This window comes from Homo sapiens, chromosome 1 (assembly GCF_000001405.40).
Source record: "Homo sapiens chromosome 1, GRCh38.p14 Primary Assembly".
NCBI lineage: Eukaryota > Metazoa > Chordata > Mammalia > Primates > Hominidae > Homo > Homo sapiens.
The window spans coordinates 65,556,594-65,570,399 of NC_000001.11; the positions used below are offsets into that span (position 1 = coordinate 65,556,594).

Consider the following 13,806-nt stretch of genomic DNA (forward strand, 5'->3'; position numbering starts at 1 on the left):
TTAAGAATCACCATTTTGAAATCCTTCTTGCTATTATGCCAGATTCTCAAACAGCTGTATCTGGATGATAGGAGAATGCCTCTTTGAAGGTTGCTTTTGTGCATGTTGGCATGGGGGAGGTGCTAAAATTTCAGATGGGATGGCCAGGGCAGGCTCCTTTAGAAGGTGAGTTGAGTGGTGGGGAGAGCAGTGGATGACGAGTGGGATCTGGGACCTTGTAGTCCTGTTCAGGACTTGGACTTTTACTACAAGTGACAGGAGAGGGCTGTAGTGCTTTGAGAAAGAGAGACATGATCTGGTCAATGTGTTAATAAGATCACTGTGACTACTGTGTTAGAGAGACATGATCTGATCTGTGTTAAGAAGATCACTTTAACTGCTATGTTGATAACTGACTGAACTGGGGAGCAAGGACAGAAGTAGAGAGCCTCTTCTGATAGTTCCGGGAAGAAATAATTGTGGCATAGAACAGGGTATTGGTAGTGGAGAGGGTGACAAATTATTAAATTTTGAAATTGCTTTGAAACTCTGGTATTATTAGGATGTTCATGAGGATGTTAGCTGTTATTTTATAAAATTAATCAATAATTTTCTTAGTGTTAGGATTATTTGTACTCTTCTCCTAAACTGTTCATTTCATTTTAACTACTCAGAATTTATAATTGAACAATACAACCATAAGAAAAGTTAGAACAAATTAATGGTTCATCCTTAGGAAGTGTCTTCATATTAATGGTGTTTGGTGTATTAGGCTTATTTTGGTCATCCTATCTTTAATTTTCCCTTTGCTTCATTCTTTTTTCACCAATTTAAAAAATTTCTGTCACTTTTTCTGTCTTTTATTTAGACAGAGTCTCACTTTGTCATCCAGGCTGGAGTGCAGTGGTGTGATCTCAGCTCACTGCAACCTTCACCTCCCGGGTTCAAGTGATTCTCTTGCTTCAGCCTCCCAAGTAGCTGGGATTACAGGAACACGCCACCACACCCAGCTACTTTTTGTATTTTTAGTAGAGACAGTGTTTCACTATGTTGGCCAGGCTGGTCTTGAACTCCCGACCTCAAGTGATCCACCCGCCTTGGCCTCCCAAAGTGCTGGGATTGCAGGTTTGAGCCACTGCACCCAGCCTCTTTTTCTGTATTATTTGTGTTTTAAAAAACTTCTTTATATTCCTTTTTGTACAGTTTAGGGTGCATGTTTCTCTCATTGAATCTATGTCAGATACCACCTTTCACTGTCTCTTCAAGGTTGTGTCTATGTCCTTTTTACACTTGTGATTGTTTCTCTGTTATTTAAGAATGAAACCTGATTCCACGAATCCAAACCATCAGAATAGTTTGTGTTTTGCATGGAACATTAAATAAAGAAGTGGTTGTTTTATGTAAGGAAAACTGCTGATCTATTTGATCACTTAACTGAGGAGACCAGGTGAGTTAAAAACAAGCCAAATCATTTGTTGAACTGAATTACTATAGTCACTAGTAAGTTTCATCAAAGCAATCCAGTGATATGTTGTATCTGTGACACATCTTGACTATAAAACTTGCCCTTGAGTTTATTTTATGAGAACATCTTATATCAAGAACAGGTAGCATAAAAAGCAGGGAGGAATTTGTACTCATTTAATATAATTAAATCATGAGGGTTCCAAACAGTGTACTGATTTCTAGAAATCCTAAAGAACCATTGTGATATCAGTGTATAAAGAACAAAAATTCTGATGACAAACTTGTAGTGTGAAAAACAAATTTACTGGACTACCCACTGTTTATACTCATTTATTTTCTTCCTGATAGTAAGTTGTAAAATAAACAAACACTTTTTTCCATTTACTTATCATGTGGTGCCAATTCTCACTTATCATATGGTGCCAATTCTCAGATATGAGTCATGAGACATGTTTCTTAATGTTTTTTTTTTTTTTTGAATCAGAAGTTTTTTTTTTTGTTTTTTTTTTGTTTTTTTTTTTTTTTATACTTTAAGTTTTAGGGTACATGTGCACATTGTGCAGGTTAGTTACATATGTATACATGTGCCATGCTGGTGCGCTGCACCCACTAACTTGTCATCTAGCATTAGGTATATCTCCCAATGCTATCCCTCCCCCCTCCCCCCACCCCACAACAGTCCCCAGAGTGTGATATTCCCCTTCCTGTGTCCATGTGATCTCATTGTTCAGTTCCCACCTATGAGTGAGAATATGCAGTGTTTGGTTTTTTGTTCTTGCGATAGTTTACTGAGAATGATGATTTCCAATTTCATCCATGTCCCTACAAAGGACATGAACTCATCATTTTTTATGGCTGCATAGTATTCCATGGTGTATATGTGCCACATTTTCTTAATCCAGTCTATCATTGTTGGACATTTGGGTTGGTTCCAAGTCTTTGCTATTGTGAATAATGCCGCAATAAACATACGTGTGCATGTGTCTTTATAGCAGCATGATTTATAGTCATTTGGGTATATACCCAGTAATGGGATGGCTGGGTCAAATGGTATTTCTAGTTCTAGATCCCTGAGGAATCGCCACACTGACTTCCACAATGGTTGAACTAGTTTAGAGTCCCACCAACAGTGTAAAAGTGTTCCTATTTCTCCACATCCTCTCCAGCACCTGTTGTTTCCTGACTTTTTAATGATTGCCATTCTAACTGGTGTGAGATGGTATCTCATTATGGTTTTGATTTGCATTTCTCTGATGGCCAGTGATGATGAGCATTTTTTCATGTGTTTTTTGGCTGCATAAATGTCTTCTTTTGAGAAGTGTCTGTTCATGTCCTTCGCCCACTTTTTGATGGGGTTGTTTGTTTTTTTCTTGTAAATTTGTTGGAGTTCATTGTAGATTCTGGATATTAGCCCTTTGTCAGATGAGTAGGTTGTGAAAATTTTCTCCCATTTTGTAGGTTGCCTGTTCACTCTGATGGTAGTTTCTTTTGCTGTGCAGAAGCTCTTTAGTTTAATTAGATCCCATTTGTCAATTTTGGCTTTTGTTGCCATTGCTTTTGGTGTTTTGGACATGAAGTCCTTGCCCATGCCTATGTCCTGAATGGTCATGCCTAGGTTTTCTTCTAGGGTTTTTATGGTTTTAGGTCTAACGTTTAAATCTTTAATCCATCTTGAATTGATTTTTGTGTAAGGTGTAAGGAAGGGATCCAGTTTCAGCTTCCTACATATGGCTAGCCAGTTTTCCCAGCACCATTTATTAAATAGGGAATCCTTTCCCCATTGCTTGTTTTTCTCAGGTTTGTCAAAGATCAGATAGTTGTAGGTATGCGGCATTATTTCTGAGGGCTCTGTTCTGTTCCATTGATCTATATCTCTGTTTTGGTACCAGTACCATGCTGTTTTGGTTACTGTAGCCTTGTAGTACAGTTTGAAGTCAGGTAGTGTAATGCCTCCAGCTTTGTTCTTTTGGCTTAGGATTGACTTGGTGATGCGGGCTCTTTTTTGGTTCCATATGAACTTGAAAGTAGTTTTTTCCAATTCTGTGAAGAAAGTCATTGGTAGCTTGATGGGGATGGCATTGAATCTGTAAATGACCTTGGGCAGTATGGCCATTTTCACGATATTGATTCTTCCTACCCATGAGCATGGAATGTTCTTCCATTTGTTTGTATCCTCTTTTATTTCCTTGAGCAGTGGTTTGTAGTTCTCCTTGAAGAGGTCCTTCACATCCCTTGTAAGTTGGATTCCTAGGTATTTTATTCTCTTTGAAGCAATTGTGAATGGGAGTTCACTCATGATTTGGCTCTCTGTTTGTCTGTTGTTGGTGTATAAGAATGCTTGTGATTTTTGTACATTGATTTTGTATCCTGAGACTTTGCTGAAGTTGCTTATCAGCTTAAGGAGATTTTGGGCTGAGACAATGGGGTTTTCTAGATATAGAATCATGTCATCTGCAAACAGGGACAATTTGACTTCCTCTTTTCCTAATTGGATACCCTTTATTTCCTTCTCTTGCCTAATTGCCCTGGCCAGAACTTCCAACACTATGTTGAATAGGAGTGGTGAGAGAGGGCATCCCTGTCTTGTGCCAGTTTTCAAAGGGAATGCTTCCAGTTTTTGCCCATTCAGTATGATATTGGCTGTGGGTTTGTCATAGATAGCTCTTATTATTTTGAAATACGTCCCATCAATACCTAATTTCTTGAGAGTTTTTAGCATGAAGGGTTGTTGAATTTTGTCAAAGGCTTTTTCTGCATCTATTGAGATAATCATGTGGTTTTTGTCTTTGGCTCTGTTTATATGCTGGATTACATTTATTGATTTGTGTATATTGAACCAGCCTTGCATCACAGGGATGAAGCCCACTTGATCATGGTGGATAAGCTTTTTGATGTGCTGCTGGATTCGGTTTGCCAGTATTTTATTGAGGATTTTTGCATCAATGTTCATCAAGGATATTGGTCTAAAATTCTCTTTTTTGGTTGTGTCTCTGCCCAGCTTTGGTATCAGAATGATGCTGGCCTCATAAAATGAGTTAGGGAGGATTCCCTCTTTTTCTATTGATTGGAATAGTTTCAGAAGGAATGGTACCAGTTCCTCCTTGTACCTCTGGTAGAATTCAGCTGTGAATCCATCTGGTCCTGGACTCTTTTTGGTTGGTAAACTATCGATTATTGCCACAATTTCAGCTCCTGTTACTGGTCTATTCAGAGATTCAACTTCTTCCTGGTTTAGTCTTGGGAGAGTGTATGTGTTGAGGAATTTATCCATTTCTTCTAGATTTTCTAGTTTATTTGCGTAGAGGTGTTTGTAGTATTCTCTGATGGTAGTTTGTATTTCTGTGGGATCGGTGGTGATATCCCCTTTATCATTTTTTATTGTGTCTATTTGATTCTTCTCTCTTTTTTTCTTTATTAGTCTTGCTAGTGGTCTATCAATTTTGTTGATCCTTTCAAAAAACCAGCTCCTGGATTCATTGATTTTTTGAAGGGTTTTTTGTGTCTCTATTTCCTTCAGTTCTGCTCTGATTTTACATATTTCTTGCCTTCTGCTAGCTTTTGAATGTGTTTGCTCTTGCTTTTCTAGTTCTTTTAATTGTGATGTTAGGGTGTCAATTTTGGATCTTTCCTGCTTTCTCTTGTGGGCATTTAGTGCTATAAATTTCCCTCTACACACTGCTTTGAATGCGTCCCAGAGATTCTGGTATGTTGTGTCTTTGTTCTCGTTGGTTTCAAAGAACATCTTTATTTCTGCCTTCATTTCGTTATGTACCCAGTAGTCATTCAGGAGCAGGTTGTTCAGTTTCCATGTAGTTGAGCGGCTTTGAGTGAGATTCTTAATCCTGAGTTCTAGTTTGATTGCACTGTGGTCTGAGAGATAGTTTGTTATAATTTCTGTTCTTTTACATTTGCTGAGGAGAGCTTTACTTCCAACTATGTGGTCAATTTTGGAATAGGTGTGGTGTGGTGCTGAAAAAAATGTATATTCTGTTGATTTGGGTTGGAGAGTTCTGTAGATGTCTATTAGGTCCGCTTGGTGCAGAGCTGAGTTCAATTCCTGGGTATCCTTGTTGACTTTCTATCTCGTTGATCTGTCTAATGTTGACAGTGGGGTGTTAAAGTCTCCCATTATTAATGCGTGGGAGTCTAAGTCTCTTTGTAGGTCACTCAGGACTTGCTTTATGAATCTGGGTGCTCCTGTATTGGGTGCATATATATTTAGGATAGTTAGCTCTTCTTGTTGAATTGATCCCTTTACCATTATGTAATGGCCTTCTTTGTCTCTTTTGATCTTTGTTGGTTTAAAGTCTGTTTTATCAGAGACTAGGATTGCAACCCCTGCCTTTTTTTGTTTTCCATTTGCTTGGTAGATCTTCCTCCATCCTTTTATTTTGAGCCTATGTGTGTCTCTGCACATGAGATGGGTTTCCTGAATACAGCACACTGATGGGTCTTGACTCTTTATCCAATTTGCCAGTCTGTGTCTTTTCATTGGAGCATTTAGTCCATTTACATTTAAAGTTAATATTGTTATGTGTGCATTTGATCCTGTCATTATGATGTTAGCTGGTGATTTTGCTCGTTAGTTGATGCAGTTTCTTCCTAGTCTCGATGGTCTTTACATTTTGGCATGATTTTGCAGCGGCTGGTACCGGTTGTTCCTTTCCATGTTTAGTGCTTCCTTCAGGAGCTCTTTTAGGGCAGGCCTGGTGGTGACAAAATCTCTCAGCATTTGCTTGTCTGTAAAGGATTTTATTTCTCCTTCACCTATGAAGCTTAGTTTGGCTGGATATGAAATTCTGGGTTGAAAATTCTTTTCTTTAAGAATGTTGAATATTGGCCCCCACTCTCTTCTGGCTTGTAGGGTTTCTGATGAGAGATCCGCTGTTAGTCTGATGGGCTTCCCTTTGAGGGTAACCCGACCTTTCTCTCTGGCTGCCTTTAACATTTTTTCCTTCATTTCAACTTTGGTGAATCTGACAATTATGTGTCTTGGAGTTGCTCTTCTCGAGGAGTATCTTTGTGGCGTTCTCTGTATTTCCTGAATCTGAACGTTGGCCTGCCTTGCTAGATTGGGGAAGTTCTCCTGGATAATATCCTGCAGAGTTTTTTCCAACTTGGTTCCATTCTCCCCATCACTTTCAGGTACACCAATCAGACGTAGATTTGGTCTTTTCACATAGTCCCATATTTCTTGGAGGCTTTGCTCATTTCTTTTTATTCGTTTTTCTCTAAACTTCCCTTCTCGCTTCATTTCATTCATTTCATCTTCCATCGCTGATACCCTTTCTTCCAGTTGATCGCATCGGCTCCTGAGGCTTCTGCATTCTTCACGTAGTTCTCGAGCCTTGGTTTTCAGCTCCATCAGCTCCTTTAAGCACTTCTCTGTATTGGTTATTCTAGTTATACATTCTTCTAAATTTTTTTCAAAGTTTTCAACTTCTTTGCCTTTGGTTTGAATGTCCTCCCGTAGCTCAGAGTAATTTGATCGTCTGAAGCCTTCTTCTCTCAGCTCGTCAAAGTCATTCTCCATCCAGCTTTGTTCCGTTGCTGGTGAGGAACTGCGTTCCTTTGGAGGAGGAGAGACGCTCTGCGTTTTAGAGTTTCCAGTTTTTCTGTTCTGTTTTTTCCCCATCTTTGTGGTTTTATCTACTTTTGGTCTTTGATGATGGTGATGTACAGATGGGTTTTCGGTGTGGATGTCCTTTCTGTTTGTTAGTTTTCCTTCTAACAGACAGGACCCTCAGCTGCAGGTCTGTTGGAATACCCTGCCGTGTGAGGTGTCAGGGTGCTCCTGCTGGGGGGTGCCTCCCAGTTAGGCTGCTCGGGGGTCAGGGGTCAGGAACCCACTTGAGGAGGCAGTCTGCCGGTTCTCAGATCTCCAGCTGCGTGCTGGGAGAGCCACTGCTCTCTTCAAAGCTGTCAGACAGGGACATTTAAGTCTGCAGAGGTTACTGCTGTCTTTTTGTTTGTCTGTGCCCTGCCCCCAGAGGTGGAGCCTACAGAGGCAGGCAGGCCTCCTTGAGCTGTGGTGGGCTCCACCCAGTTGGAGCTTCCCGCTGCTTTGTTTACCTGATCAAGCCTGGGCAATGGTGGGCGCCCCTCCCCCAGCCTCGCTGCCGCCTTGCAGTTTGATCTCAGACTGCTGTGCTAGCAATCAGCGAGATTCCGTGGGCGTAGGACCCTCCGAGCCAGGTGTGGGATATAATCTCGTGGTGCGCCGTTTTTTAAGTCAGTCAGAAAAGCGCAGTATTCGGGTGGGAGTGACCCGATTTTCCAGGTGCGTCCGTCACCCCTTTCTTTGACTCGGAAAGGGAACTCCCTGACCCCTTGCGCTTCCCAGGTGAGGCAATGCCTCGCCCTGCTTCGGCTCGCACACGGTGCGTGCACCCACTGGCCTGCGCCCACTGTCTGGCACTCCCTAGTGAGATGAACCCGGTACCTCAGATGGAAATGCAGAAATCACCCGTCTTCTGCGTTGCTCATGCTGGGAGCTGTAGACCGGAGCTGTTCCTATTCGGCCATCTTGGCTCCTCCGTGAATCCGTTTCTTAATGTTTTACACTATTCTTTGTGGTAAAGTGTGGTTTCCATTTTAAATTACATCTCTCAGAATAATAGGCAGCTCTGAAAGGGGTTGTAGAGACCATCTAACAGTCTGATTTGTAGATGAGGAACCTGAGGTCTAGAGTGTTGAAAACCCAAGTCCCACAGCTGATTACCGGAAGAGCTTAGCCTGGCACCCAACACTCCTGATGCCTAATTCAGGTAGGTTTTCATCCAAAGTCCAAGCCACATATATTAAAATTATACTACTATTTGGATTTATGACATAGTAGTACAAATAATCATATTTGTGATACTCCAACTTGAGTAGAACTCATAGGAAATCTTGTCTCTGAAGTCGGACTTCATGTGGGTATATTAAGCCACCAGACTTTTAATTATTCTAACTCTCCAATATTACCTCATCTGCAAATAAACAATAGGTTTCCAAAGGTCTACTGGTAAAATTTCTCCTCTTTATTGGAAATAAATAGGCAGTTGTTACCTATGCAATAATTATTTGGCCTTACAATATCATAGTAAAGATAAAGACTTTAGAAAACAGGGAAATTTTAAGACCTGAGCATGAAAGAAATTGAAGACGGTGATATTAATGATGTTAAATTAGCTGTTACATATTTTATCAACATTGTGAGCACTTGCATTTAGTTAAAATTTCAGTCTTATCCCGTGATACCTGTCCTGGTTTGTTATGGCATAAAGGAACATTCAGTTTAAATTTTTTCGACTTGTATTTTTAATGATGTAAGATAGGATGCGTACAGGAATAAATCTGTAGCCTAATTTTACGTGAGATATTTCTCAGATATTGATCTAGAGTATCACATGTAAATTTAGAGACTTATCTATAATCCCTTTCCTTTTATGTTTTCCACAGACAACTTATATATATGTGTTTTTGTTTTTGTGTGTGTTCTGATTTTAGATTTACCTTTTCCAGGTGTACTTCTCTGAAGTAAGATGATTTGTCAAAAATTCTGTGTGGTTTTGTTACATTGGGGTAAGTTATTTGCTCATTTGCTGTTTTAATGCCCTTAAACATGGTAGAGATTTTGCCTTTAGAGATGCTGTTTTATTTATTAGCTAACAGAATTTCCTATTTCTAGTTAGGAATTCTCATACATGCTTATGATTAAAAATGCAAACCATAGTATAGGTGTATCAGTGTGAAAACGAAAACCCTTCCCAACCTCCTAAAGACAACCTGATGGTGTATCCTTCCAGAATCCTCTCTCTCTCTCACACACACACACACACAGACTCACACACACAGACTCACACACACACATACACAGACACACTCATATCTATAGCTGCAAAAATAGCACTGGTCTGTACATGTTGTTCTGGATGTTTATTTTTCCATTTAACAGGTTTCCAATTTATCATGATGGCTTTTTACCTTTATCAGTATTTACCGGGATACTTATTAGTTTAATGGTTGCATGACAATGCACTGTATGAATATATATAAAATTATTAGTCTATTTGACCAATTCCTGATTGATAGACATTTCTTTTTCTGTAACAAATAATACTGCATTGAAACTTCATGTGTCTTTGTATATTTGGAAAAATATTTCTGTAGATTAATTCTTTTTTTTTTTTTTTTTTTTGAGACGCAGTCTTGCTCTGCCGCCAGACTGGAGTGCAGTGGCATGATCTCAGCCCACTGCAACCTCTGCCTCCTGGATTCAAGCAATTCTCCTGCCTCAGCCTCTCGAGTAGCTGGGACTACAGGCACGCGCCACCATGCCCAGATAATTTTTGTATTTTTAGTAGAGACGGGGTTTCACTGCGTTGGCCAGATGGTCTCAATCTCTTGACCTCGTGATCTGCCCGCCTCGGCCTCCCAAAGTGCTGGGATTACAGGCGTGAGCCACCGTGCCCAGCCGATACATTGCCAATAACTTTTGAGCATACTGTTCTCACGTGTTTCTTACCACATTCTGGTGACATTCTGATTTCCTTAAACCAAATCATCTAAGTTAGATTGTGTTCCAAGTTTTTGAAATTAAAGTTAGAGTATCTTTAACAAAACTTATGTGATTTGGCAATTGTTTATCTAGCTTTCTTTAACAAAACTTATGTTGTGGCAACTTTATCTGGCAGCTGTTACCTGTGTGTCAACTGATTCTGAGCATCTCCTTGGCTACCCCAATCTAAAGGGGCTCTTCTAAGCTTCCCTATAGGTCTTCCTTGTGGTACATACTTCTCTTTCATTGCAGCCATCTGTATATTTCCAGAAAATAACCTAGATAGCTCCACCATTACAGATTTCCAAAAAATTATGCCACAAGGGACTATCAAAGAGAAATAACTCATTCTCTTTTTATATTCTCTAATTTTATTAGATATATTTAAGGGAACTGTTCATTCTCTTTTATAATTCTCTATTAATTTTCGTTAGACTCTAGTGTTTTACATTGACTTTCTGGAAGGTTTCTGGTTTGATCAAGTTTTTGAATCAAAAGAATTCCTGGGATATTGTTACCTGATAAGATATGCCTTCAGATGAAAATTCTAGACCATCTTTAGAGTTTAGGATTCATTTGGAGGGAAAGAAATATCATTTGCAAAGTTGCATGTGGATAAAATAGACTCATCTTTTAATTTAACTGCATCAATAGTTGCTATGTTTTTAAAGTTCATCATTACATTTTACATTTAAATACTTCTGTGAGGATTTTAGGCTAATTCATTTCAAGCAACTGAATCCTCTATGTAGACCTAGAATATATAATGCTGTAAATTAGTAATATTACATATTCTTGGTTTTGTAAACCTCCTCCCTCAAAAAACTATTCTGTTTTCTTTGAGGTGTTCTGATTTTAGAAACATGTTAGAAGGAGTGAAGTCCAAAGGAACATAATTGTAATATGGATTTACTTTTGGTAATGTTGTGATACCTAATTGTTATCAGTATGGCCATAGTCACATTTGTCACATTAATCACTTTGGCCTCAATTTTTGCATCTATACCTATTTATATTAATTTATATCTATAGAAATCTTTAGAAACCAAACTATTAACAGTCATTACCTATGTATTGTTTGAATATTTTCACTGATAATTGCTTTTGTAATGAAAAAATACATTTGTGAATTGATTAAAAATTTTATTTTCTTACATTTTTAAAAAGCCTTTATTTTTTAGAGCAGTTTTAGGTTCACAGCAAAATTGAGAGGAAGGTACAGAGATTTTCCGTAGACTCCCTGCCCCACACATTTATAACCCCCCATTATCAACTATCCCCCCTCAGAGTGGTACATTTGTCACAATTGATGAACCCATACTGACATATCATTGTCACTCAAAGTCCATAGTTTACATTATGGTTCACTCTTGGTGTTGTATATTGTATGAATGTTGACTGATGTATGTATAGTGACCTTTATCTGCAGCTTTAGAAACATACAGAAGAATTTCACTGCCCTACCCATCCTTTGTGGCCTTCCTATTCCTCCCTCCTTCTTACCTAACTCCTGGGAACTGCCGATCTTTTTACTGTTTCCATAGTTGTGCGTTTTATAGAATGTCATAATGTCATATAGTTGGAATAACATAGTATATAGTCTTTTCATACTGGTTTCTTTCCCTTAGTAATATGCATTTATGTTTCCTCCATGTCTTTTTTTTCCTCTTTAAATTTTTATTTTTTTAGATTCAGAGGTTACAAGTATGGTTTTGTTACATGGATATGTTGCGTAGTATGTACATCACCTGAATAGTGAACTTTGTGTACAATACTACTTATAAGTGAGAACATGTGGTATTGGATTTTCTGTTTCTGAGTTATTTCACTTAGAATAATGGCCTTTAGCTCCATCCACGTTGTTGCAAAGTACATGCTTTTATTCTTTTTTATGGCTGCATAGTATTCCATGGTGTGTGAGTGTGTGTGTGTGTGTGTGTGTGTGCATGTGCATGTGTGTGAATATGCCACTTTTTTTAATGCAGTCATTCATTGAGGGACACTTAGGTTGATTCCATGACTTTGCTATTGTGAATAGTGCTGTGACAAACATATGACCGCAGGTGTCTTTTTGTTACAATGATTTCTTTTCCTTTGAGTAGATACTTAGTAGTGGGATTGCTGGATTGAATGATAGTTCTACTTTTAGTTCTTTGAGAAATCTACACATTGTTTTCCATAGAGGTTGTACAAATTTACATTGCCACCAACAGTGAATAAGCATTTCCTTTTCTCTGCATCCTCACCAACATCTATTATTTTTTGACTTTTTAATAATGGCCATTCTTACTGGTATAAGATGGTATCTCATTGTAGTTTTAATTTGCATTTTTCTAATGATTAGTGATATTGGGCATTTTTTTCATGTTCATTGGCTGCTTGTATGTCTTCTTTTGAGAAATGTCTTCATTTCTTTTGCCTTCTTTTTAATGGGATTATTTGTTTTTTTCTTGTTGAGTTGTTTGAGTTCCTTCTAAATTCTGGATATTAGTCCTTTGTTGGATGCATAGTTCTGGAAGAGTGCTGGAACCTCTGTATCTTTTCGTGACTTGATGTCTCATTTCTTTTTAGCCCTGAATAATATTTAATTGTCTGGATGTACCACAATTTACCCATTCACCTACTGATGAACATCATGTTTACTTCTATTTCCTTACATTATTACATTTGCCAAACTCTTCAAAATTCTCATTTCATACAAATCCATACAAGATTCTCAGAATTCGTATTCTGCATTAGTGTCTATATAAGCCAACACAATTGTTGCATCATTTGGGTAACTTACTGAAAAAACAATTATGGAGAATTATTTTATTTTCAAACAAATATTTAAAAATAAGTTTGGCTGGGTGCAGTGGCTCATGCCTGTAATCCCAGCACTTTGGGAGACCAAGGTGGGCGGATCACCTGAGGTCAGGAGTTCGAGACCAGCCTGGCCAACATGGCAAAACCCCGTCTCTACTAAAAGTACAAAAATTAACCGGGTGTGGTGGGAGGTGCCTGTAATCCCAGCTACTCAGGAGGCTGAGGCAGGAGAATTGCTTGAACCCGGGAAGCAGAGGTTGCAGTGAGTCGAGATCATGCCACTGCACTCCAGCCTGAGCAACAAGAGCGAAATTCCATCTTAAAAAAAAAAAAAAAAAAAAAAAAAAAAGACAAGGTTTAACTTTTGCAGATCTTTTGGTACAGGATTATATAATTGTTCTTAATTTTTATATTTAAACAGTGATAATTTAATCAGCAGTGGGCATTTCCCATAAGAAGTCTATTCTTTTGCATCATTTTTTGTGTAATGTGCTAAGGGCATGTCTTATATGATGATGTTTTGTATTTGGAGGATCATGGGAAAATTCAGGAGATCATCAAGCCATCATCATGTTGAAGACAAATTCTTTCTAAAAGTGCTCAGCGAAAGCAGTGTTAATATTTTGGTGTTACTCTCTTAAATACATATTAAAATAGCACTTTAATGTTTGTTTATATAATTGCACATCCAGATATTTATTTATCATTTATACTGGATATTATATTTATCATTTATAATGGAAGCTAGAATAATATGCTTTAGAAAGGAAAAATAAAATATTCAGTGTTTGTTTCCTTTTATTAAAACATAAATATAAAATGTCAGCTTAAAGAGAAAACATGAAGTGTGAGTCTTCAAAAAGAAAAGAGATGTCAGAAAGTGGAGTAATTTCTACAAATGAATGCATCCTCTTGAATGTAACACATTGTACAATGGAAGCACAAAGTTATTCATTAGACACTCACTGAGGACTTAGAAAGTTAAATAATTATTGAGCACTACATGGTTTAAT

General features: G+C 38.2%; 1 protein-coding gene across 6 annotated transcripts in view, besides 2 other annotated features; it reads left to right on the forward strand.

Moving 5' to 3' along the window:
* The window catches only part of LEPR (leptin receptor), a 220,908-nt gene that overhangs the window by 135,942 nt on the left and 71,160 nt on the right, over nt 1-13,806 (forward strand). For all 6 annotated transcript variants that reach the window (NM_001003679.3, NM_001003680.3, NM_002303.6 and 3 more), the window contains one exon: nt 8,953-9,012. In NM_001003679.3, the coding sequence (NP_001003679.1) occupies nt 8,973-9,012 (40 nt within the window). In that variant the 5' untranslated portion in view covers nt 8,953-8,972. The remainder of the gene's footprint in view (nt 1-8,952; nt 9,013-13,806) is intronic.
* Nucleotides 7,057-7,682: an enhancer, noted in NCBI's record as "NANOG-H3K27ac-H3K4me1 hESC enhancer chr1:66029333-66029958 (GRCh37/hg19 assembly coordinates)". NCBI's record gives its function as "activates a minimal SCP1, AML or CMV promoter by ChIP-STARR-seq in primed H9 embryonic stem cells {active_cell/tissue: H9 hESC(primed)}" and the evidence as "EXISTENCE:reporter gene assay evidence [ECO:0000049][PMID:30033119]".
* Nucleotides 7,683-8,306: an enhancer, noted in NCBI's record as "NANOG-H3K27ac-H3K4me1 hESC enhancer chr1:66029959-66030582 (GRCh37/hg19 assembly coordinates)". NCBI's record gives its function as "activates a minimal SCP1, AML or CMV promoter by ChIP-STARR-seq in primed H9 embryonic stem cells {active_cell/tissue: H9 hESC(primed)}" and the evidence as "EXISTENCE:reporter gene assay evidence [ECO:0000049][PMID:30033119]".